This window comes from Homo sapiens, chromosome 10 (genome assembly GCF_000001405.40).
Source record: "Homo sapiens chromosome 10, GRCh38.p14 Primary Assembly".
Lineage (NCBI taxonomy): Eukaryota > Metazoa > Chordata > Mammalia > Primates > Hominidae > Homo > Homo sapiens.
This window is the reverse complement of record NC_000010.11, coordinates 35,547,828-35,574,351: the sequence shown is the minus strand read 5'-3', so window position 1 is coordinate 35,574,351 and position 26,524 is coordinate 35,547,828. Positions and strand designations below refer to the sequence as shown.

Genomic DNA, 26,524 nt, shown 5'->3' with positions numbered 1-26,524 from the left:
GTTCCATGACAAAAAAATCAATACCGATGTTAACATCTTATGCATAAATTCTCGCTACATTTAATATTTCTATCCCAAACTATATTTTGTAATGCCATTCTTTTATCCCTTATTTGAAATAACTTATTTATATGAACAAAAATTCTTAAAAGGAAAGCCCCCCACTGAAACCAAGTCCCTTAAAGGACACTGGAAAGTTTATTGAGACCTGTAGAATCTGAACATCATTAAGTCAGACATCATGTTTGAGTTCACTTCTTACTGTAACAGGTTCTGCAGAACTCTTTTCACAAAAACCTATGAAGGACAGATACAGTTGCCAGGCCAAGTCCTCACCCAGCTGCTGTGCCCAGCTCAGACCTGCCACAGTGCACAGAGACAGCAGCTGCCAGATTAAGAAGCTCATTTTGAGGTTGATCACTGCTGAGAAGAGTGACAGACAGGACCTTTAGCCCCTTCACATATGCAAACTTAGTAAGAAAATCTAACAGGAAAACAGGCAGGGAGCCTGCTGACTTGGAGGTACGAACTCCAGCCCCACCACTGTGACTGCAAGCACTCCTGGGCATCTCCCCAGCCCTGTTTGGGTGCAACAGCTCTAGCAGGGCGCTGCATTCAATAACAGCAAGTCAGCACCTTAACCAAGCTGTTTGCAGGCCTTGGCTTGAAATCCATGCAGCTAAAGACATAACACCCTGGGAGGGTGAGGCAGGAGGAGCACTTGAAGCTGGGAGTTGAAGACCGGCATGGGCAACACAGCAAGACCCCATTTCTATAGAAAATTTAAAAATTAGCCTGGCCAGGAGCAGTGGCTCACGCCTGTAATCCCAGCACTTTGGGAGGCTGAGGCCGGCGGATCACTTGAGGTCAGGAGTTTGAGGCCAGCCCGGCAAACATGGTGAAACCCCATCTCTATGAAAAATACAAAAATTAGTCAGGTGTGGTGGTGTGTGCCTGCAGTTCCAGATACTTGGGAGGCTGAGACAGGAGAATCAGTTGAACCTGTGAGGCAGAGGTTGCAGTGAGCTGAGATTGCACCACCGCACTTCCAGCCTGGGCGACAGAGTGAGACTCCATCTCAAAAAAAAAAAAACAAGTAAATTAGGTGGGCATGGTGGCACAGGCCCATCGTCCCAGGGAGGCTGAGGCGGGAGGATCACTTGAGCCCAGGAGTTGGAGGCTACAGTGAGCTATGATTGTGCCACTGCACACCAGGCAGAGTGACAAAGTGAGACTCTGTTTAAAAATATATATATATTTAAAAATAAATATATATATAAAACCCAAGTTAAGTATCCTGTTCCTGTCTCAGTGCAAGAGCATGTTTCTTGTTTCCTTCTCTTTTTCAACAAGGGTAGGACCTCATCATGGCTGACTTTTCAGAAGATAATGTCTTTAAGACCCACCCAAGATGCTGACTCCAATGACATCAAGGGAGATAAAGTGGTTTCAGACAAAATGGGGTATCAATATGAAAGTGACATGTTCTATTAGGTCTCTATTGTGCAACTTCTCAATTGCTGGAGTAGCTCTCATACTTTTGTGAGTCGCTCAAGAACACAGGGCCAATACCACTTTCTACCACTGCTCTTGCAAAGAACTGGTTCACTCAGCATCCATAAAACCTGTTGAATTTTATCTCAATATACTAACTCAAAAAACACAGCAGGAAGGCAGGCACTACTTTGTTCTATGTATATATTTATTTAACATTTATTAAATACCTACAATAACCAAGAATCATGTTTTATTTTTAAAAAATTTCAAATCTGGGCCAGGGGCAGTGGCTCACGCCTGTAATCTCAGCACTTTGGGAGGCTGAGGGGGGTGGATCACTTGAGGTCAGGAGTTTGAGACCAGCCTGGCCAACGTGGTGAAACTCTGTCTCTACTAAAACTACAAAAATCAGCTGGGCATGGTGGTGGGTGCCTGTGATCCTAGCTACTCGGGAGGCTGAGGCAGAATTGCTTGAATCCGGGAAGTGGGGGTTGCAGTGAGCCCAGATCGCACCATTGCACACCAGCCTGGGTGACAAGAGCGAGACTCCATCTCAAAAAAAGAAAAAAAAAAATTCAAATCTGTAAAATATGGCCCCAGGTGAGAAGTTACCAAAAGCAGCAGGAAAAGTTTAAATCATTCACTCCCCAAATTTTGCTTTCAGCTTAGCTTAAAGGAAACCCCAGGATGGAGATGGCTCTGCCCAAGCCCGAGAGCAGGCAGACAGGAAAGCCAGCCCAGAAGAGGAGGCAGGTACAGGTGCCCACACCTCTGGCCTCACCTCATGCATGAAGGCACATCCCGATCTTGGCAGGATTTCTCATCTGCCCTCCAATTTGGTTTTAAACTCCTGACTTCTTCTTTCCCTTTTTCTAGTTAAAAAAAAAAAAATAAGAAAAGTAAAACAAATCAAAAAGATTCATCGGGATATATATTTATTGTCCCAATGACTTTATTTGTTGTTTAAATCAAATATAAAATTAAAGTAACAAATTGTGTCGTTTCCTTCATCCTTAATGACAAAAACTTTCCATTCAAAAACTACACTAAGACAATGTGTTCCTCAATAGTAATCCAGCTTTAATTGTAGAGCATTAATTCGCCTTACAAACAAATTACAGTCACTACGATTTATCAGTAAGTACTGTACTGGTTTTGTGTTTTCTTTTGGCAAACTTTGAACAAATCAGAGAAGAAAACATAACTATTCATCATCATGTAGAAAAAGAAAAGAAAATGAACCTCAAGTATCTACCTATGTGTCAAGTGATTCATCCTGCCAGTAAAACTAAAATCTACACTTACAGCGGAGTTTTAAACATCCTTAGTGCAAGAAACATAACCAATTAATACAGATCAACACTAATTAATGAATATGGAAAATTTTCCTATACAGAGGTAGAATCCAGGGCACAGGCTAAAACAGTATTCAGTAGTCTAAACAAGACTTGAGTCTGGTTTTATGGAATCCACTTTAAATTTTAGGTATCAGACTGTATGTACATACATACAATAAATAGACTATACAATTTTTTTAAAGTAGTTTAATAAACTCCACAAAATAATAGCAGATGCATTGAAATATTTACATAATTCGATTTTCAAATCTCTCATTCAAATAAAAGGGATAAAAATAAAATTTCTGCCTTTACGGCAGCAGAACCTCTTTCCTGAAATGGATTGGTAAAATAAGATACTTCACTGGAGAGGAACTAATTTATGTTTAAGAGGTATTCATATTCAGCTAAGAAAATACAACCCTTTTTCAGCTATATAGATTAGGGAATATAAAATGATATTTTCTACATTTTTTGACCTGTATTCAAAGTTCTAAATTCAACTTTGACTTGAAGAGAGAAGGTGATTTTGGTACCCATACAGAGTAGATCATCACAATTACAATGGAAAGATAATTAACGTTTTATATGCTGTTTATTTGCTTTTGAAAGTTTGGGTCAGAAAGGCTGTGATAATAATTCTGGCCCAAACAGGTATGCTTATACCTGACACAAATTTCACTAAAACCTAACACTTTTGGCTTGGAGTTCTTGGGATTTCGACTTTCTGAGTCCCTTCCATTTCCAAAGCATGTTTCATTGAGAGCAGGCAATGTTTGGGGATCAGGTGTATGATTCAAGACTAATTAAGATGCCAAAGTTTTCCAAGCTCACATGGGAAGAAGGTGAAACACAGACCTGCTGCTGCCACTGGCCTCCCAGAGACTTGAAAAGGGAAACAACTCAGAAACCTGTCACTGTGACCTAAGAAAATATGCAAAAACCCAAAGCATTACATATGCAAGTGACTCACACTCTTAGATTTCATATCAAATTCACTATTTGATATTCTATCATCAACTTTCATTTTACTTGATATAAAAGATTCTTATTGAGTCCATAAGGAAATCAGGGATCGTCAGAAAATGAAAAAGTATGGTCATAATTAATGAAGCATAAACCTTCACAGTTTGAATTTTGTAGAACTTCTCTAAGCACCCACAATGAAAATGCAAGTTGAGTTTTTTTTAATTCAATCATTCTGTGAAAAATACCTCAGTAAATAGTAACATTTTTCCCTTCAATGATCTTCCCACTGGAATACCCAACCCACCCTTGTTTTTTTTCTTTTTCTTTTAGATTTTTTAAAAATTTTATACAAATAGACTAACTTTGATTTAAAGTAAACATATAAAAATTGAGAAGAATATTGCTTGCAACAATGGACTTGGAAGGAGAGGAATGGATTAGGCAGGGGTACAAAGAAATGGCTCCTACTCGGTAGTTCCAGGCACATGCCCAGCACTCTGCAGAACTCTCACAGGGACACCCTCTGCTGCACCGTGTCCTTCAGCCCACAAAGTCTGACTGATTTTGTAACAACAACTTCAGGTCAGGAAAAAAACAAATGCAAGAAAATCGGAAGGCACAAGCACCCATGTGATCTAGAATGTTCTTGGGGTGAGGAATAAGGAGGGAAAGGGATACTTTTGGTTCAGCACTACAGTCAATTTCGCCATTGTTGAAGAAAAACGGTATAAAATAAGGGTGTACAGAAATGGAACAAGCACAGCCCACTGGTGAGGAAGAAAGCTCAGAAGACAGCGCGCAGAAATAGTGCAGAGAGAAATGACCAGTACTATTTATTTGGAAGTCTGCGCCATGGTGGGTACAAACTACATCCCCTGCTCTGTGGGACCAAAATCAAAACAGGGCAAAAACAAATGAACAAAAATACCCCCATCCCAAAAAAGCAGCAGAAGGAATGCAAGAAGTCTTACAGGACACACTGGCCCAGCCCTGGGTGCAGCCAGCTCTGCATCCACCGCTGCGCTCGCCAACTTCAGCTACCGCCCCCATGGGGACTCCAGAGGGCCGGGCTGCTTAACCATTTTCCCTGCCTCTCCACGACTTCCCTTTCCCTTTATTTCCTCCTCCAGGATTCGAGTCCACTTCCTCCACGAAGGAAGTGCTGTTGCTGACAGTGGGGAGAGCGAGCTGGGATCTCCAGGGCACTGACGCTTCCTCCAAGCCTTGCTGCATGGGCGCTCATCCAGGCAGCTTGACGGAGCTATGCGTAAAAAAAGAAAAGGAAAGAAAAAACAAAAACAAACCCACCCCAAGTCTGTCTTTTCTCAAACTAAAGGAGAAACTAAGGGATGGTGTGGCCTCCGGCGGGCCTCCGTAGTTAAGAGATGATGGCTGGGGACCACCGGGGCAGAGTCAGGTTGTCTGCACTGGCTGAGCGCTTCCTCGCGGATCTTCTTAGGTCCTTGTACTTGTCCTCGCAGAGGCGAGAGATGGCCTGAGGGGCAAGAAAGACAGTGTGGGTCAGGGCGGGCCATATCTGCGTCCATTGCTCACTCGTCCTGGGCGCCGAGGGCGCTGCATGAGGGACAGGCAGAGCCCCTGCCCCTGTGGAGCTCCGGCCCAGAGCCCAGCTCTCTGCTGGCAGCAGGGAGATACGAAGGGAGTGTGGACTCAGCTCTTGTTTCCCAAGAGCTTACAGTCTGAGAAAAGACTCTCAGGATGTGAAATAACAGTACAGTGTCACCTCACAGTCGGCCCGACCAGGGTCAACGCTGGCTCCCCATCTAGGGGTGTGGGACGGGCCCCACCCACACGCGTGCTGTTTTGAATCCTTGGCGTCCTCACCTGCAAGCGGGGCAAGAACAGCACCATCCTGGCAGGGCTGGCATGAAGCACGGGCTTGGAGCTGAGCCTCACAGAGAGGAGAGCTCGGCCGCTGGCGGCAAAGACAGCTGCAGCCAGACCACCAGCTAGGGACTCCACAGAAAAGGATGGAGGACTTAAGTCACCTCTAGAGGGTTGCCGAAAGAGGGACCCAGGGGGATCACAAAAATATGAGATGTGCAGATAATCAACACTTTGGTGATAAGGACGGGGGACCATGCTACTCTGGCAACAACTCTCCCAGGGCTGCCACTGGGTGTGGCTAGAACTGGCTGATGGTAAAAGCTGAGCCCACTGTCCCAGGCTTTGATTATTTGGAGAAGAGAAAGAGCAGCCTTGTCAGGATATGACTGGCCTTTTCTCCTGCCCTGCTGAACCCCTAGGGCCCGTGACACAGCAGCCCCAGAAGCAGGTGAGCTCTCCCTTCTCGGCACTCGGAGAAACCTGAGGGAACAGCAGGTGCCAACTCCACCAACCTCGGCCTGTGCTCTCAGGGTGACTGACTCAGAGCCCCAGATATTCTTCAGCAGAGAACACAAGACTCACTTTCCTGCAGAGCTGTGTAGCTGCCAGGAGCTCCGGCTTGTCTCATTAGCACTGAAGCAGCCACTAGAGCCATAGCTGGTGACGAGGGGGACCAGGGACCACAGCACAGGCTGAGAGGGGGCTCATGCTCTCAGGGAAAGCCAGATTCTACCTCACATCTGTGCTTGCGAAGGTTTCACAACATTTGCCTTCAGGAAGTCCTGCAGAGGGAGGGTTTTCCATTTTTCCTCGAATAGATGATAACTGGGAGACTGGGTGGGCTTTCCATTCCAAAGGCTGGCACACAATCACAGGGGCATGGCTGAGTTCTGAAACTCTCACTGGATTTTTATTTCTAACCAGTGCTATGCATCCAGTCTTTTCTATGGTTTACTTCTTGGAATTAACATATTACTTTTTAAATTTTTATTTAACATTTTTCTTTCTTAAGCGTGTAATCCATAACAGGTTTCTTCTCCCAGTTCTAGATCACCGTGTGGCCAAGCCATCATGATGCCACACCAACTCTGCACTGAGTGACAACATCCCACCTGGGATGGGCAGTGGTGTGGGCAGCACGAAGACCTCACAAGCTGGGGACATGACAGTGCCATCCACCACTCGGAAACACTCTATGGGATGAGACCAAGGCAGGATTGGGAAAAAAGGTGCAGAGGAGAAAGGCTGGGGCACACCCTCTCTGGAGGAGGGGTCTCTCCCCAGGGATCCTGCTTAATTACCACCCCGTCCCCTTTCCTCCTGCCAAAAGGTCAAGTGGGAAGAGCCTGGTGAACATATGAGGCGGAGCCACATACAAATATGCTGTGATGAGACCCAAAGTTACACAGCTTAATAATGACGGCCCAAAACCCAGACCAAGACCAGTGGTGCTGCCCTCAGCTCTAACTGGGCTATGGAAAAGGTATTTTGGAAAAAAAATAAAAAGCAGAATCAAATCTTTTTGGATTCCCAATTGTTAATATCATTTGGCAGCTTTTTCCTATGAAAGCGCATGCTGAGAAGTATCTTTTTGAGGGGCTTATATTGCGGGAAATGCTTTTTGGGGGGACATAATTTTCTTAAACCTGTCCGTAAAGGTAAGGGTTTTAAAAAATATTTGATTTCAAAATAGAATTGTGGTGGCTCATGCCTGTAATACCAGCACTTTAGGAGGCCAAGGTGGGCAGATCACAAGGTCAGGAGTTCTAGACCAGCCTGGCCAACATAATGAAACCCCATCCATCTCTACTAAAAATACAAAAAAAAATTAGCTGGGCGTGGTGGTGCACACCTGTAGTCCCAGCTACTAGGGAGGCTGAGGCAGAAGAATCACTTGAACCCAGGGGGCGGAGTTGTGATGAGCTGAGATCGTGCCACTGCACTCCAGCCTGGGTAACACAGCAAGACTCCATCTCAAAAAAACCCAAAAAAACAAAAAACCTTTGCTTATTAAGTATAAAGTGATATTAAACTGGTTATTAAAAATATGAAGTGGCTGGCCAGGCACAGCGGCTCACGTCTGTAATCCCAGCACTTTGGGAGGCCAAGGCAGGCAGATCACCTGAGGTCAGGAGTTTGAGACCAGCCTGGCCAACATTGTGAAACCCCATCTCTACTAAAAATACAAAAAATCAACCGGGTGTGGTGGCAGGCACCTGTAATCCCAGCTACTTGAGAGGCTGAAGCAGAATTGCTTTAACTCGGGAGGCAGAGACTGCAATGGGCCAAGATCGCACCACTGTACTCCAGGCTGGGTGACAGAGCGAGACTCCGTCTCAAAGAAAAAAGAAGCAGAACAAATCATAATCAACTGCCCAGCTATATATCCTAGTAGCTCATCTTTATTTTACATCATGTAGTGGGGGAAATGATCAATGTGACCACATGCATCTCTGGTACTCAGATGATGTATTGGCAACACTGCACCACAAAACGCTGTTTTAAACCATCTTACCTCAAGCTTGTGAGCCCTCTCCCTGCTCAGGGGCTCCAAGGGAAAGCTCAGGTTGTTCGCTTCTGCCAGAGAACGAAGATCAAAATAATACTTGGCATAGACACTGGAAGGAACATTGATGTTGAACTGCAGCAATTCAAGAAACTGTCGCTCTAGCTCGTTCCTGCAAAGCAAAGACAAAAATAGCCTATGCTTAGCTGCCACACCAGGCCACGTGGCCTGCCAAGGCAAGTTGCTGGAGACCAGACTCCAGAAAACTGCATCCTCCAGGAAGACCAGTGATCTAAGTAAATGTCTGGTTAGACCACCATATTGGGATTAAAAGCCAAATCCACTTGATCTGGTGCCCAGAAGGATGAGGACTGGTTAACTGGGATCATCACCAGGAAGCGTTTCAGGGCGAATCACTTCACTGAGATCTAACACACACACAGCAGGCTCTGGCTGCAGGTCTCCGTGAGGACAGGCTGCTAACAAAGGGTGGATGCAGCAGCCAAGAGCTGCCACGTGGAGTCCAGTGAGGGCCCTTCCGCAGGGGCCCAGAGGAAAACACTCAGCCTCTGCAGACCTAGAGGACATTGGCTTCCTCGGTGGCCCCTCCCTACCTCCAGGGAGAAAAGAAGGGAGGAACTGTGTAGGGGCTTTCTTAGGCAAAAGGCAGGGATTATGGGGGGAGGGTGTCCAGTCTCTGCCTCAGTCTCTTAAAAAGAGAACTCACAAGCCGGGAAGAATGGAAGCAGTAGTTTCCACACTTGAGCACGCACCCCATCACCTGGTGGGCTTGTTAGAACAGACAGGGGGCTCCACCTTCACACTGTGGGGATCAGTAGGTCTGCAGTGGGGCCTGAGAATGTGCATTTCTAAGGAACTCCCAGATGATGGTGAGGCTGAGGCTCTTGCCCCGGGCCCACACTCTGAGAACCACTCAACTAAAAAGGTAGGTTGGGAGAGGAGGTGCTAAGATCCACCCTGCCAACCCATCTACATGTTGATGGAATGCTGGGAGAAATTCAAAAACTTCTACTTTAAGAACTTCTCATGTCAGCTATCTTTCAAATTAGGTTTATTTCTAGATAGTTCCTCTGGGTGGGGGGAACCTTCTCAGTGAGGGAACTATCTGTGGAGCACTGGTCCTGGGTCATGCACTCAGATTCAGCACGTTCTCCCCAGGAAGCCCCCAGGGGTGCCCACCCACAGGGTGCCCACCCACTGCACACCCTCCAGGAAACCTCCTGTCCTTGCCCACACTATGCAGCATGTGGCTGCTGAACTCAGCCTCTTGGGCTGTTCTCCTCATAGTCAGGAAGTGCAACATCTGCTTTTGCATGCCTGGCCCCCAGCACATGATCTCAGAAGGCTTCCCACAGCAGTGAGAGCTGAACTGAGGTGAGGGAAGCATGGAGCTCTGGCGGAGAGGAACCAGGGCTGAGGAGGGGGTGTTTCAGGCAGAGTGGGTCCCCTCCAACCTGCTGCAGGCAGCCAAAACACACAGTCACCATTTCCTGTGAGTGAAGCCAGGGCCCTAGTGCAGGGCCTCACCCTCCTGACCCTGATCCCAGCCTCGGCATTCTAAGTCATGTCCTGCCAACTCTGCTGAACGCTGAGGGTCTGGGTCTGAGCCTCACATGCAGGCACCATCCTGTCCTGAGTGATGTCCCGAGACCCCTATGGCTGTTCCCGGTGACTCATAGCACTCAGCTATGAAGGACTGAGGAGGGCTCCACACCAGCTCAAGTTGCTGTGACAAAGGACAAGAACAGTAAGGAGGCGGGTGGGGAGGCTGGGGCTGAGCAAGGCCAGTGGCTCTGGGGAGACATGAAGCTGCTGGGGAAAGGAGCACTGGGACCTGTGGGCAGGCGGCAAGGAAGGAGGCCCGAGGAAGGCCCATTCCGGTCTCTTCATCAGATGAAGAGCGTCACTGCTTGTTTCCACACAGCCTCGTGAAAAGAGTGATAACAAGCTCCAAATGTATTTACTGTACTAAATTTCATAGTTTTAAGAATTTAGGCTGGGTGTGGTCACTCACACCTGTAATCTCAGCACTTTGGGAGGCTGAGGCGGGTGGATCACCTGAGTTTAGGAGTTTGAGACCAGCCTGGCCAACAGGGTGAAACCTCGTCTCTACTAAAAATACAAAGAAAATTAGCCGGGCATGGTGGCACATGCCTATAATTCAAGCTACTCAGGAGGCTGAGGCAGGGGAATCACTTGAACCCGGGAGGTGGAGGTTGAAGCGAGCCAAGATTGCGCCATTGCACTCCAGCCTGGACTACAAGAGCGAAACTCTGTCTCAAAAAAAAAAAAAAAAAATTAGTCAGGCATGGTGGTGGGCACCTCTAATATCCCAGCTACTCAGGAGGGTGAGGCAGGAGAATCACTTGAACCCAGGAGGCGGAAGTTGCAGTGAGCCGAGATTGCCCCACTGCACTCCAGCCTGGGCAACGAGAGCGAAACTCTGTCCCAAAAATAAATAAATAAATAATAATTTACTTTGATTTGGGATAATTTTTACTTAAAACAACTTTTATTTATGCTTCATTTAAATGAGATTTAATAAGAGATCATCCTGTGAAATACTGGAATCCAGGTAAGACTTCAACAAAACGAAAGCGTCAGAGGCCCTGCTAAGGCCAGAACTGTCAAACGTCAAAGGAGCAAATCCCAAGTGAACCTGGGAGCTGCCATGGACACACCGCCGTCTGGTGGTCAACAGGCGTCACTGCAAAGCGTATTCTCCCAATAGTAAGAAGAAAAGTCTAAGAGAACAGCCTGATAATCCTGCCCAAAATGATATACAGACACCATGGTTCCAGATGGAGGCAGACACTACGAGCAAAGTCAAGAGGAAGCTGCTTTTGAACAAGGCGGTATTTTCCCAGGGTTCCCTGGAAAACAGAACAACCTTCTCCAAGCTTGAGTTTCTGGTTAAGCTTTGGGAAAATAGATTTTAGAGCTGTTGTATTTTCAAAAAATGAATTTTTTTCTAAAGATTTAGAAAATAAAAATAATTTCCAAAACTTGAATTTCCAAACTGCAGCAGCACATCTTTTACAGGGACACTGACAGCTTGCTATGTGATAAATTATCAGAAAACTAACGTGATGCCAAGAATGGGCCTGATGGATTTACTATCTGCATTTAGATAACTATGAAGAAACAGTTTTGGTGTAAAACGTTGTAAGAAATATATTCAAGTCGACCAACAAAAACCACATTTCAGAAATATTTGTCACACTAGATCAACACTGTATAAAAACCCAATTTGGTACAATTCAGCAACTTGAAAATAGAACTCTAAAATGATGTTAAAAAGAGCTGTTTTAATCATCTAATATGCTGCCTACTTTTCTAGAAACTAGGGTCACTTCCCAAAAGAAGGAGAAACAAAGTCTTGAAAAGGTATCTGCATAGCCACACTTACAGCCTCCACTTACTAGCCCAATGTGGAGGTAACCCAAGTGTCCATGGGTGGATGAGTGGATAAACAAAATGGGACACAGACCCCCAGTGAAGTATTATACAGCCCTAAAAAGAAAGGAAATTCAGACACACTACAACATGGATCAACCCTGAGGACATTATTGGCAAGTGAAATATGCTGGACACAGAAGGACACAGACTGTATGATCCCACTTGTGTGAGGTCCTGAAAGTAGTGAAGTTCACAGAGACAAAAAGTAGGACAGTGATCACCAGGAGCTGGAGGAAGGAGGAATGGCAAGTTAGTGTTTAACAGGGGGAGAGTTTCAGTTTGCGAAAATGAAGGGTTCTAGAGATGGATGGTGGTAATGGTTGCACAACAATGTAAATGTACTTAGTGCTACAGAAATGTATACTTAAAAATGGCTACAATCATAAATTTCATGCTACATACATTTTACTACAATTTAAAAACAAAACACCACCAGAAACCAGGTATCTACAGAGGAACTGAAGTTCTTTCTCTGTGACCTTCTGTGCCATGCAATGCTTGGACAAGTCACTTGATTTCTCCTTATTTGGATTTGTCTACACATGAAAATGACATTTACGGGAACAGTGCAAAACAAAAACAAGAAACAGACAAACCTCGAGGTGTAATTTTTTTTAACAGTATTTTTGCCTACAGAACTCTGCATGGTGAAATTTCACTGTCCTTTCCCCATCCACAGCGGTTGCCACTTCTTGCTCTAAGCTGGCCTGTGATGCTGTGACCACTGATTGTTGGTGAGAGTGGGAGAAAGGCTGGCCCTTGGCCCCATCTTCCCACATGAGGTCTGCCTGAAGCTAACATCTGACTGGTGCTGGTGACTATCCACATGGCCTGGTGCCCTGACTATTCTGCCTGCAAGTCTCAGTGACACTCGTCGTACAGTGTTCTTCAGCCTGCGCCCACAGATACGCAGCTGCACAGTCAGCTGCCTTCCAAGCCAGAACCCCTCTGTCCAAAGGTACATGGGGAGACTCCCAGTCAAGTTCTCACTGTTGGATAATTCTTGAGCAGGAGATTAGCCTATGGTCAAAAATACCAGGAAGGTCACTTCAGGAAGCTGGGACACAGGAGGCCAGGAAGAAGGGTACCTAGAAGAACAAGCACTACCAAAAACCCCATTTGAAAAGGTTTCCAGCTGAAACCTGTGAGCCCTCTCCCTGCTCAGGAGCTCCAAGGGAGAGCTCGGGTTGTTTGCCTCTGCCAGGAAACTGAGACCAGCTAACCACAGATTAACACACTGCTAAATGGCAAAAAGTTTAAAACAACGCGTACAGTATGGGCCCAGTTTTGTAAAAATAAAATCTATGTAAACACTGGGAAGTTCTATATAATAAAAATGTTAGCAATATTCTTTCTGAGTGATGGGATTATAGAAAAATGCAGCAGGGCAGCCCTTGATAGGATGGAGCCCACCCCAGGATATCTGAGACTTCTCCTGCCCAAACGCCTCCCACCCCACCCTCAGGCCCAAGCCACTGACTCTTTTCCCACTTGGGGATGAAAAAGAGGATTCTAGGATCTTGGGGACTTCCACAGCGTGCCAAGAAGGACAAGCTCCTGGCACGCACCTCCCTCATTCTGGGACACCCAAGTGGGATTTGTGGAAGGAACCCATTGTTCATCTAAGGTACTGCAGGTAGGGAGTGCAGCTTGGGTGGCTGTCCAGGCCCCTGTTCTACAGGCTGTGTCATCTCAGCTCTATTCCTGAAGTTATGCTGGGAAAACTCACCGGCAGTGCCTCTGCTCATCTTTACCTTGGTGCAGGGCCCCCAGCTTCCAGTGAGCCTTGTGCTACCTCCTCTCCCCATAAAGGGCTACCGAGGAGTCATGATTTTCCCTCAGCCATTCAGCTGAGTGATGTCCAATTCCACCAATTCCTGGGCTCACACGGTTTTACTGGGAAAGACTGAATGAAGTATTCATTTCTAAAAATTCTAATAGTAAATCTATTTTACTGTGCAGGTGCCACAAAATCACTTGGAGCCTCTAGCTCCACCAGCATCTATGTCCACAGATATCTCCAGCAGCTCCTAGAATGTAGATTTCATTCCTTCTTTTAATAAAGTTTACAGGGTGTATTAGTTTGCAAGAGCTGCTGTAATGAAAATGCTAGGGGCTTAAACAACGGGAATTTTTTCCCCACAGTTTGTGGCTGTAAGTCCAAGCTGTCAGCAGACTGGTATCTCCTGAGGCTGCTCTCCGTAGCTTGCAGGTGGCTGTCTGAGTCTCACATGCTCATCCTTCTGTCTGTTCCCTGTGTTCTGATCTCTTCTTCTTATAGGACACCTGTCATATTAGGTTAGGACCCACCCAAATGAACCAATGTTAATTTAATTAGGTCTTTAAAAACCTTATCTCCAGACATGGTTACATTCTCAAACACTAGGGGTTGGGAGGGCTTTGCATGTGAATTTGAGGGGGACAAAGTTCAGCCCCGCAACACTGCCTTCGTGCCCTTCAGAATTCATGTCCATCTTACATGCAGAACACACTCACCTCATCCTAACAGCCCCAAAGTCCTAATGCATTCCCGCTCCATCTCTAAGTCCCAAATCCTATCTAAATCTCATCTGAATCAGGTATGGGTGAAGATTGAGGTATGATTCATCCTAAGGCAAAATTCCTCTCCAGCTGTGACCCAGTGACCTGCTTCTAAAATACAATGGTGGCACAGGCATAGGACAGACATAGGACAGGCATCCCCTTTCCTTCCAAAAGAAAGAAAACTCAGAAAGAAAGAGGTCACAGTGTCCAGCAAGCCCGAAATCTAGCAGGGCAAGCTCCAGGGATTGAAGACTTAAGTCCTCTCTGCTGATGCGCCATCACCCACCCCCAGGTAGGCAGCCCTGCCTTGGCCTAACCCCCTGGAGCCAAGGAGGAAACAGCCTCACTCCAGGCTGTGCCTGCTGGGCCCATGGTGGCAGTGGCAGACCTGCTGGCCTCGGTACCATCTCAGGATCATTCACCCCTTTCCTTGGAGGATATCACAAGTCATGCCAGACAGTTCTGCTGGCCCGTGGAATGCCAGAGTACGACAGCCTTGCTTCACCTGTCCTGTCTCTGGGCCCTTTGGTGCAAGCCGGCAGCGCTTCTGCTGAGATGGCTGGCTGACTGGATCCATCTGTCACATCTGTAATCTCTTTAGCAAATGCTGTCCCAGCACCCTTGTGTTGCCTCCAGAGCACACTTTCCCATTTTTTTGCCATATGGATAGACTGAGATTAGAAGATTTGAGATTTCTAAATCTTCAGCTAGAAGATTTGGTTCCTTGTTACTAAATAATTCCTCCTCCTTCTGTTTCTCTCTCTCCTCTCACAGTATACTACGAGCAACAAGAGGGACTAGGCTGTGACTTCCACACTGTGCATGGAAATCTCCTTGGCTAAAACATCCACATTCATTTCTTAAACATTCCACTTTCCACAAAACACTAGAACGCTATTTGGTCAGGTCTTTGCCACTTTTTAACAAGGATCACCTTTCCTCCAGCTCCCAGGAACATGCTCCTCACTTCTTTCTGAGACCTCACCATAAGCACCTTGGACATTCATATTGCCAACAACATTCTGTTCATGATGACATGTGAATGCATCTAAAATGGTAGAGGCATTTTCTACAGCTGTCCTCTTTTCTGAGTCTTCACCAGAATCACCTTTAATGCCCACATTTCTACCAACAATCCCTTCAAGGCAGTCTTGGGTTTTTCTAATATGCACCTCAAAACTCCTCCTGCCTCTATTCCTTACCAACTTTCAAAGCCACTTCCACATTTTTAGGTATTTGCTACAGCAGCACCTCACTTCCCAGTACCAAAATCTGTATTAGTTGGCTAGGGCTACAGACTAGCACAGGTAACAAAGTCCCACAGACTGGGTGGCTTCAACAACAGAAATTTATTTTCTCACAATTCTAGAGGCTACTAGTCCAAGATCAAGGTGTTAGTGGGGTTGGTTTCTTCCGAGACCTCTCTCCTTGGCTTGCAGACGCTACCTTCTCTGTGTCCTCACATGGCCATCCCTCTGTGTTGTCTGTGTCCTAATCTCTTCTTATGAGGACATCAGACATACTGGATTAGGGCCCACCCTAATGACCCCATTTTAATTTAATTTCCTCTTTAAAAAATATATCTCCAAATATGGTCACATTCTGAGGGTCTGGGGGTTAGGACTTCACACATCTATTTTAGAGGAGACAATTCAGCCCATGTCATGAATAGCATCTGTTACAGGACTCAGCGGGACTCTGGACTTCAAGCTGGGATATGCATTCAATTTATAGTACAGAAAGTGTCTCTAAGCATGCTTGAGAACACAGCATTAGGAAAGAGATTTCTAGATCTGTAACTTTCATTTCACTCTCCTAAAACTGACTTGCTGGAGAACAAATCTGTGTGTGCAGGTTCTCCTTCTGGCTTCTTCTTTCCCAGTTGCTCTTCTCCTACCCTGGAAGGGAAAGGCAGGCTGCTCACCTGCCCTTACTAAGGTTCACTGCCTCAGGGGGAACTCCCTCTGAGGAACCCAGGAAAGGGACTATATCCCAACATGTGGTGCTGGAAAAGTGAATGACTCTAGTGACAGGCTACTTAGATGGTTTCCAGTTTTTGCTTTCAACAAACTGAAGCAGGGGTTGGTAGGCTCATTTAAATAGCCTTTACTAATAGATGGCTGTGTAATTTTAGCATATAATTCAAAAACTGTTTTAAGACTTGAGTGACACTACTATAATAAAACTCCTCAAAATTTCACCTACTCATCTGAACATGCGCTCTGAACTCACACCAAAGAGGCAAAAGAAGAGAAAGGGGAATAAAACTGATGCTCAGCCTGGTTTCAATAATCATCATACACAAAAATATAAACTAATGAAAGAACAAACTACTGATCTCATTAAGAAATCTATTTCCCATAAGGTTTTACTTTTTGTATATTTAATAATTTATACTGACTTTTTTTTAAATATAAAATGGAGTCTTGCTCTGTTGCTAAGGCTGGAGTGCGGTGGCACGATCTCGGCTCATTGCAACCTCCGCCTCCTGGGCTCAAGCGATTCTCCTGCCTCAGCCTCCTGAGTAGCTGGGACTACAGGTGAGCGCCACCAGTACCAGCTAATTTTTGTATTTTTAGTAGAGATGGCATTTCACCATGTTGGCCAGGCTGGCTTGAACTCCTGACCTCAAGTGATCCACCCACCTCGGCCTCCCAAAGTGTTGGGATTACAGGTGTGAGCCACTGCACCCAGCTTTAGTATGTCTATATTTTGATCAACTGTGTACTAATGACAACTCAGACCTGAAAGTGTTTTTAATAAATTAGAACATTATCATCCAGAAAACACTACTGCAATTTTGACTTAAATGTACATTTTTGATATGGAGAATTTTGAAGAAGAGGCTAATGTGTGAGGAAACTAGAAAGAAAATAATGAGTTCAAGGAGAAAAAGCAGCAATGTAAAATTTTCACCTCTAAGAAAATGGGTAACTGTGAGTTTCATATTACTCTGGTATATTCAGTCTCTAATGAATACTTTTAACTTTAAAACCCTACTATATAAAATATATTGCAAATAACATCCTTTACAACAACTAAAACTTGGGATAAAAATTTTCAAATTAAGGCCGAGGTGGGCAGATCACCTAAGGTCAGGAGTTTGAGACCAGCCTGGCCAACATGGTGAAACCCCATCTGTACTAAAAATACCAAAAATTAGTCAGGACTAATGGCGGGCGCCTGTAATCCCAGCTACTCAGGAGGCTGAGGCAGGAGAATTGCTTGAACCCGGGAAGCGAAGTTGCAGTGAGCCAAGATCACGCCATTGGACTCCAGCCTGGGCAACAACAATGAAACTCTGTCTTAAAAAAAAAAAAAAAATGTAGTGAGGATATAAAATTTTCCAAACTACTTCTAGGGATAAACAGGCCAAAATGTATAAAGACCTCCACTATTGTGGTCACTGGCTGGCACCTCCAGAAAGGAATGGAGACACAACCGTGCCAAGTACCTCTGCGTAATCAGGAACTGTAAATTCCTGATTTATGTGTGGTTCAGAGCATCCTTTCAGCTATTACCCCTATCAGAAGGAAGCTCCATGCTCCCTCCAATCTTCTGTCAGGGGGAAAACGTGTCTATTCCTCCCCAAATATCCATATACGCAATTGTTTGATCAGCTTTTCTACAGAGAACATATAGAGTCTTATAGTGTGGTAATCATATAACCAAAGAGTAAACAGTATATTATAGATGGATCACAGTGGCTCTCAAAACAAACAGTAGAATAAAATATGCAAGAATCTGAACACGCAAGGACTCAGTCTGGCCAGGTTACAACTTTGCCTACTCAGGGCCTGCAGTCCTCAGAGCTCTGCAAGGAAAGCAGAGGAGCACAAGGCACCTGAGCTGCATCTCCCCATGATCTGCTCTCCAGCCTGACAGAGGGCAGTGGAAAAAGGTGGCACTCCAGTTTCTTCAGGAGAACTATTTATGGTCAGACCTTTTAGAAACATCAGGTCTTCCTGAATGCCTCCTTCCTTTGCCCAGCTACAGGCATGTGGGGCACTGATCAAATGCTGCATGAGTCACTAAGGTTCAGCCAGTGGCTCAGATGGCAATGGGGTAGCCTGGGCACCAACAGCTTTCAAAAAAGACAGAAAACAGGCTAAAAAATGATCAATTTTCTTTGGACAAAATATGGAATAGAGTTTTAACATCAATCCTACTATTCTACTAACCATAGTGCTGGTTCTTTCAAAATCTTAATGAGTAAAGCAGCAGCTTCATTCAATACAGTAACTATTAGTATTTTGCACTTGAAAAAAAATCCAACCTTATTATAATGTATAATTTTTTAAGATATTGACTGCCCATCAAAAGAACAGACATTAAGGCTATCATTATCAAAACAATTCTTGATATTAAGTTAATTTCAGCTGAATGAACACTGGCCAACTGTTTTAACTTCTCTGTGTAGAAAAAGAGTTGACTTACAAAAAACAGTTGTTTTTTAAATTAAGTATTAAATGAAACAACTGTAGCTCCAATTGCTTAGAAGAAACATAGATTGTGACTGACTTACTAGTCAAGTCACCTGGGCATCTTACTTAATTCTCAGGGCCTCGTTTCCATCTGTAAAATGGGAATAATAGTACCACCTCATGGATAAATGTGAGATGTGAATTAACGCAGAAAAATCATTTCTTTTGAGCTAGGAAGTACTCAATATAGGATAGCTGCTGCTGCTGTTGTTGTTATTGTGATTATAAATATTCCTGGTAATTGGGTTTTACTGACTTGAATTTAAACCTTCAATGAATACAACCTAAGTACCTAGAATTCCAAATGACCTGTTACTTTACCCTCCTATCTTTTTATTTAAAGAGAGAAGGAAAAATTAAAAATGAATGTTTAAAACATCTTCGTAACTGAGGACCAGTACACATCATTTTCATTTGACTACTGTATAATGAATGGTCACTGGGATTAAGAAAGATGAGCCTTTCTTAATCAGCTGGGGATAAACCTCCCCACTTGGTTATTTTGTTGGAGCATTATTGAACCTCTCTAGGCCTCAGTATCCAGATCTGTAACATGGACATCAGTACACATGTCACAGGGTTGCTGAGAGGATTCAACTGACATATGCATGAACTGGGCAGTGTGTACCTCCTGACAAATATTTTATAAACATTTCCTCAAAATTTGAAATCAACTAAGAGGATTTTCCATTGATCTTAAGTTTCCATGAAAATTCAGTTTGCTGGCATTTTGGTGAATTAAACCTGGTGGGTTAAGGATAAGAGTACAAAAGGCATCTCCTCCACACCTCTAATGTTATTCACTGGTCATTTTTCTCTGTTCTCTTTTGTTTTCATGCTTCTGTGGTATCTGCAATTTGCATTTGTCTCTCACTTCCTTTTGGAAATATAGTTAGGATACAAATCAAAATATTTAAGACCTAGTCTAATTTCATTAGGTATTCTGGCTTTAAGTGGACACACCTAGTCATGGTCGGGGGGCCCTCTGTGCTCTCACAGAACCTGAGCACCACCTAAACCAAGTCACTGGTCATGTATCATCTAACAGGAGGGGACAGCCAGGAAGTCATCATGTGACGTGCTGTTCAGTGTCAAATGATACCAAGCAGCTGAGCAAAGATAATCCCCAATAAAGAAAACAGGCCAGAATTTCTTATACCTCGCACCCAAATGTCCACCTCCTTTATGATATGAATGACAACTATTTTAGTAGCTGTTTTCACCATGAAATATAGTCAAGAATTTTATTTTTCTTACTATATAGTTCTGATTAAAAAAACTTCTTTATGTGTTTCTTACTTTATGTAATAAAGAACTAAAGACACAGGATGAAATTTTATAGGTCTGCAGCAGGAATAGGCTCTGCAACAAATGCCCTAAGAACATAAACAAGCAGTGCTTCAAAGGGTGCCACAACAATGGGTGCCTGGGGAGTCAGTAACCAGAGGCAAGGAGGGCCCTAGGCTGCTGCGGAATCCAGAACCCACATGCCCACGAGTCTGCAGCCCAGGGACACCCCTGCAGTGGTAGTTGTCACAGGCACTGGGAAGGTCCTGCATCTGAGGATTACTGGGGGCAGGGATGTGGGTGTAGACTGAGACAGAGCTGGTAACCTCCTCCAGCTTAAAGCCCCCTTGAGGAGGTTTGCCAAACAAAAAGTATGAGAAAAGTTTTAGCAACAATAATGTCAGAAGTGACTACAAATCATAAGGAACTGTAAGTCAAGTAGTGCTATCTGATTGTTTTCTACAATTCCTTCTTCCCCAAGGGCTCTGAACTCAGTTCCTGGATTCCCAGTCCCTAGAGACCCCCCAGACAACAGTCTGCAGGTGTCCTACTAATAATCCTCACCTAAATTGAAGACTGGCCCATCTGAGAAACCCTGACACTGCCCAGAGAGTGAGGGGAGTGGACAGCTCTCAGTCCCCACAACCCCCAAGGGCGATGCCCTCCCCGAGCCCTGTTCATGCTGCAAGTGGGAGCCCCAGGGACACGAGGCTGACCTGAAGCAACTGAACCTGCAAAACATGACAAAGCAGTGGATGTTTTCTCTGTGAAACTAAACAAAAATGTAAAATATTTTAGCTTTTGTGCTTTTTGGATTGCCTTATTGACCACAAAGGACTGTATGGCGGCATTACCTCTCTGTGATCAGTCTGCAGTGAGATACAAAGCCCAAATATAAACCATCACAGGCTGCTATCAGTGCTGGACCACACCTTTCTAATTAAAGGAGTGTTTGCCTACAATATAGTTTCTGTAAACCAGTTTCACAAAACCAGGAGGTGTTACCAGTACCTGTTCAAGATCCACATGATGAGAAATGCAGGTTTTCATATGTAATATTCCACAGCCATGCCCCTGTTGTAACAGCTCACAACAGACATTCAGTCAAATGCATGCATTCTGCGCTATACAGACCATTAAAAAAGGAGGCAGCTTTCTTTCCAAATGGTCTGGCCAAGACTCTGATGACCAACACCCTCTGCCCCCCAACTCACATGTCCTCCACCGTGATGTCTTTCAGGATCTGGCAGTAATCCACATTCCATACAGCCTGGTCATCCCACACCTTGGAGGCCAGCAGGATCGCCCCTAAAACAATCCGCTTCCAGTTGGCCGGACAGATATCTATCTCTGCGTATGTTAAAAGTCTTTCAAGGTACACCTGGGAAGACAAGACAATGCCAGAGCTAAGTGATTTGTTTTCTCCTAAACACCAGCACACCTCAAGAAATGCTAAAATATGTATTACATCCACCTTTAAATGGGAATTTATTACCCAATCACATTTATTTTTAAAAGGCCAAATGACTCAATGAGTCTGATGAAACGTGGGCTAAAAGTCCCACTCCATTAGTGGACAGTGTGGGTGCAGCTGGATCTTAAACAGACTCTGTGGAGGAAACAATTCCAGGAAGCACAGGCTAATTTCTCACTCTATCAACTGTGATATCCATACATGTTAATGACTGTTCCAACAGAAAGGACAGAGAATGTATAGAGAATACACTTTTTTTTTGTTTGTAGGGTTTTTTAAATTAAGCTTTTTGTTTTGAGATAACTATAGATATACATGCAGTTGTTGATAAGCCTATCTTTTAATTATTGTGGTAAAATATACACAACATGTAATTTACCATTTAACCATTTTCAGTTCAGCGGCATTAGGTACATTCACACTGTTGTGTTGTTTCTGCAGTGTGGTGGTTACCACATTCACCTGACACACTGCTGTGCAACCATCACCACCATCTATCTCCAGAACTTTATCATCTTCCCAAACTGAAACTCTATACCCGTTAAATAATAATTCCCCACTTCCTCCCTCTCCGCAGCTCCGGGCAACCACCATTCTCTATGAATCTGACTACTCTTGGCACATCATATTGGTAGAATAATAAAATATTCGTCCTTTTCTGTCTGGCTTATTATCACTTCGCATAATGACCTCAAGGTTCACCCATGTTGTGGCATGGGTCAGAACTTCCTTTTTAAGGCTGAATAATATTCAGCTGTATGCATATACACCATCATGTTTATCCATTCTTCTGTCAATGAACATTTGAGCTGTTCCCCCTGTGTGGCTATTGTGAACAATGCAGCTATGAACACTGGTGTACAAGTATCTGTTTGAATCCGTGCTTTTAATTCTTTTGGGTACATACCCAGAGGTGGAATTGCTGGATCATAGGGTAATCCTATGTTCAATTTTTGAGGAGCTGCCATATCATTTTCCACCGTATGCACCATTTCACATTTCAGCAATGCACAAGGATTCCAATTTCTCCACATCCTCCCTAACATTTCTTATTTTCTGTTTTGTTTTGGTAATAGTCATCCTAATGTGTGTGAAGTCGTATATCACTGCGATTAGGATTTTATATACCTATTTTTAAATCATTAAAATGATTGGAAAATAAAACCAAGTAATACAGGATTTCTAAACTGACAGAGTTTAGGTTGAAGACAGACATCAGAAATATCTACAAAGCCCATTAAGTTGGGCCACGAGGTAAGAATGTCTTTTTTAGTTTCCCATAGTAGAACTCTGTTTATTATTGATAGTACGTCTTACACTTCTCTGAACTATGAAATTACTACTACAGTTTTTATCAAATGCATTTGCAAAGTGAAAATGTAACAGAAAAAAAAACAAAATTAAACAGACACCATCCATGCTATTTTTAAGAACTTGCAGATAAAACCCATTAATGTTATAATTATTCACAGTATATAATGTCCATAAAGTCTTAAATATTACAAAACGCAAAAAGGTACATGTGGAAAGGAAAATGTTTACACATAAATAAAATACAGATTATTTTCAGTTAAATGATACCAACACTCCCAAATGGAATGGGAAAGGTTTTTTGTTTTGTTTTGTTTTTTAAGAAAAGGAAGAATTCACACTTGTTACTTCATTAGGATGTCTTTGAGGAGGCGGCTGAACTTTAGGAAGTTCTTGAGAAAAAGGGTAATTAACACTGATTGGGAGAGGTCTCTTACGGGATGCGAATGCACAAGGCCTGTAAAGGGGACCCAACGATCACAGAAGGTGGGCTGCTCTGGAAGACCCCCAGCTCCCGGCTTGCACAGCTAGGTAGGTGTGTTCTCTGGGACAGGGTGCACTGGGGAGGAAGAGGTTGGTAAAAGATCACAGGCCTGACTCTGGACGCTTTCTGTCTTGAAATGTCCCAGCGGATGCCACATAAGTAGTGAACATGCAGGTCTGGAGCTCAAACTGGGGTGCCAGTTTGAGAGTCTGTGACAGGCAGACAGAGCAAAGCCAGGGGCAAGGGACCTGGGGGAGGCTTAAGAACTAAGAAAAGGAGGGGCTGGTCCTGAGACTGGAGGGCCCCTTCCATTTTAAGGCTGGAGACAGGATGAAGGGGTAACAAAGAAGAGGGGGGAGTAAAACCTGGTATGTGGTGCTCTTGTTTGAGTCTTGTAATAGTTTGGAAAAGAACTTCTAAGGCAAAGCTGTGTTTGCAAGTGCCTAAACTAGGCTTACAACATATGGGGCATTTGAGAAGGAAACTGAAGTGTCCTCTTGCACAAGAAAACATTAAATTGGACGAGCAAGGACTCTAGAGGCAGTGACTGTGCAGGTGGAGGGGCAGGAGAAGCAGCAGGCATGGGGGATTCAGCAGGGAGGCCAGGGAGAGAAGGGCAAGGGAGTAAGGGTAGAGGGACAAAAGGAGTGGGGAGGGAAGACAGGGCAGAAGAGGGGGACGGAGAACAATCCTTAATGGAAGCAAAACTCCGGGCAGATTAAGGATAAAAAGACCATCAGCAAGCAGCACAGGGTCATGAGCAGTGTAAGGTCATGAGCCATAAGCAACACAGTGTCATGAGCAGTGTAGGGTCATGGGCCATGAGCAGTGCAGGGTCACAAGCACTGTAGGGTCACGGACTATGAGCAGCACAGGGTCATGAACAGTGTAGGGTCATGGGCCATGAGCAGTGCAGGGTCACGAGCACTGTAGGGTCATGTGTCATGAGCAGCGCAGGGTCACGAGCACTGTAGGGTCATGTGTCATGAGCAGCGCAGGGTCACAAGCAGTGTAGGGTCATGGGCCATGAGCAGCGCAGGGTCACGAGCACTGTAGGGTCATGTGTCATGAGCAGCGCAGGGTCACGAGCACTGTAGGGTCATGTGTCATGAGCAGCGCAGGGTCACAAGCAGTGTAGGGTCATGGGCCATGAGCAGCGCAGGGTCACGAGCACTGTAGGGTCATGTGTCATGAGCAGCGCAGGGTCACGAGCACTGTAGGGTCATGTGTCATGAGCAGCGCAGGGTCACGAGCACTGTAGGGTCATGTGTCATGAGCAGCGCAGGGTCACGAGCAGTGTAGGGTCATGGGCCATGAGCAGCGCAGGGTCACGAGCACTGTAGGGTCATGTGTCATGAGCAGCGCAGGGTCACGAGCACTGTAGGGTCATGGGCCATGAGCAGCGCAGGGTCACAAGCAGTGTAGGGTCACGGACCATGAGCAGCGCAGGGTCACGAACAGTGTAGGGTCATGGGCCATGAGCAGCGCAGGGTCACGAGCACTGTAGGGTCATGTGTCATGAGCAGCGCAGGGTCATGAGCACTGTAGGGTCATGTGTCATGAGCAGCGCAGGGTCACGAGCACTGTAGGGTCATGGGCCATGAGCAGCGCAGGGTCACGAGCACTGTAGGGTCATGGGCCATGAGCAGCACAGGGTCACGAGCACTGTAGGGTCATGTGTCATGAGCAGCGCAGGGTCACGAGCACTGTAGGGTCATGGGCCATGAGGAGCACAGGGTCACGAGCACTGTAGGGTCATAAGCCATGAGCAGCACAGGGTCACATACAGCATAGGGTCACGTGGCTTGACCAGCTACTCTGCAGAACCCCCCACCCCTCATCCCTAAACCACAGTCAGAGTGAGAGGGTCTAATGCTCCCCAAAGCAACCAGAAGCTTCCTTGTGGCTTATTTTGCCAGGTGCAGTTGTGAAGCCCCTGAGAAACTGGTGAGGTGGGGAGGGGCAGGTCAGACTCTTCTCTGCCTCTTCGAGAGAAGGGGTTTGGCATGATGAGGGGCGGGGGGGGGTGGGGTGGGTGGTGAGGGGCACGGAGTTGGCACCCAACTGTTTGCTGAATGAAAACATCCATGACTAATGGTTTCTTGCTTAAAAAGATTATTGTTCTGTGTTCAGATTACTTTTCTGTGTTCAGTGCTTTACTAATGAAACAGCAGTTTTTTAAATCTTAAAAACCTGGATTTTTATGGCTTATCAGATGTTCCTTAGAATGGATCAGGGCACTGTACTGAAGACAAAGTAAAAATCCTAAAAAGAAAGTACGGTTAACCCCTGAACAACACAGGTTCGAGCTGTGTGGATCCACTAATACGCAGATTTTTTCGGTAACAGTTACACCGAATGCACCTGCCTCTCCTGCCTCCCTTCCACCTTCTCCACCTCTTTCGCTTCCACAGCCCCAGAGGCAGCAAGACCAACCCCTCCTCCCCTCCTCAGCCTACTCAACGCGAAAACAACCAGGATGACAACCTTTATGATGATCCACTTCCACTTAATGAATGGGAAATATATTTTCTTGGCTGGGTGCGGTGGCTCAAGCCTGTAATCCCAGCACGTCGGGAGGCCAAGGTGGGCAGATCACAAGGTCAGGAGATCGAGACCATCCTGGCCAACATGGTGAAACCCCGTCTCTACTAAAAATACAAAAATTAGCTGGGCATGGTGTACGCGCCTGTGATCCCAGCTATTTGGGAGGCTGAGGCAGGAGAACTGCTTGAACCCGGGAGGCGGAGGCTGCAGTGAGCCAAGATCGTGAAACTGCACTCCAGCCTGGGTGACACAGCGAGATTCCGTCTCATAAAATATATATATATATATATACATAAATATATATATTTATATTTATGTATATATATATTTGTCCTTATTTTCTTAACATTTTCTTTTCTCTGGCTTACTTCATTGTAAGAATACAGTATAGCATACATATAACACGAAAAATAAATAATAATCAAATGTTTATGTTACAGGTAAGGCTTTCAGTCAACAGTAGGCTATTAAGTTTTGGGGGGTCAAAAGTTACATGTGGATTTTCAACTGTGCAGGGTTCCATGCCTCTAACCCTGGAGTTGTTCATGGGTCAAGTGGAGTAACATGTTTCAAATCCCAAAGGCAAATAGCCAATAAGCTGTAGTAAGAGGTTCTAAGTATACTGATAATAAAATGGAAAACCATTACAGGGAAAGACCACCTTGACCTTCCCAAATTAGTTGGGTGACCCTCTGCTTGCTCCCAATGCTGCATTTATCTCAGTAGTGTAAGGGCCTCTTCCCTGGATAGGAAGCC

General features: G+C 45.0%; 1 protein-coding gene across 5 annotated transcripts in view, besides 3 other annotated features; it reads right to left on the bottom strand.

Annotated features, from left to right (window-relative positions):
* Nucleotides 1-1,684: 1,684 nt before the first annotated feature.
* Nucleotides 1,685-26,524, bottom strand: part of CCNY (cyclin Y) — a 325,643-nt gene continuing 300,803 nt past the window's right edge. For all 5 annotated transcript variants that reach the window (NM_181698.4, NM_001282853.2, NM_145012.6 and 2 more), the window contains 3 exons: nt 21,167-21,333; nt 8,167-8,329; nt 1,685-5,298 (listed from right to left, as the gene is read on the bottom strand). In NM_181698.4, coding sequence (NP_859049.2) covers nt 5,182-5,298; nt 8,167-8,329; nt 21,167-21,333 — 447 coding nt within the window. In that variant the 3' untranslated portion in view covers nt 1,685-5,181. The remainder of the gene's footprint in view (nt 5,299-8,166; nt 8,330-21,166; nt 21,334-26,524) is intronic.
* Nucleotides 9,301-9,380: an enhancer, noted in NCBI's record as "active region_3268". NCBI's record gives its function as "activates an Ori minimal core promoter by ATAC-STARR-seq in GM12878 lymphoblastoid cells {active_cell/tissue: GM12878}" and the evidence as "EXISTENCE:reporter gene assay evidence [ECO:0000049][PMID:35858748]".
* Nucleotides 9,651-9,760: an enhancer, noted in NCBI's record as "active region_3267". NCBI's record gives its function as "activates an Ori minimal core promoter by ATAC-STARR-seq in GM12878 lymphoblastoid cells {active_cell/tissue: GM12878}" and the evidence as "EXISTENCE:reporter gene assay evidence [ECO:0000049][PMID:35858748]".
* Nucleotides 9,821-9,930: an enhancer, noted in NCBI's record as "active region_3266". NCBI's record gives its function as "activates an Ori minimal core promoter by ATAC-STARR-seq in GM12878 lymphoblastoid cells {active_cell/tissue: GM12878}" and the evidence as "EXISTENCE:reporter gene assay evidence [ECO:0000049][PMID:35858748]".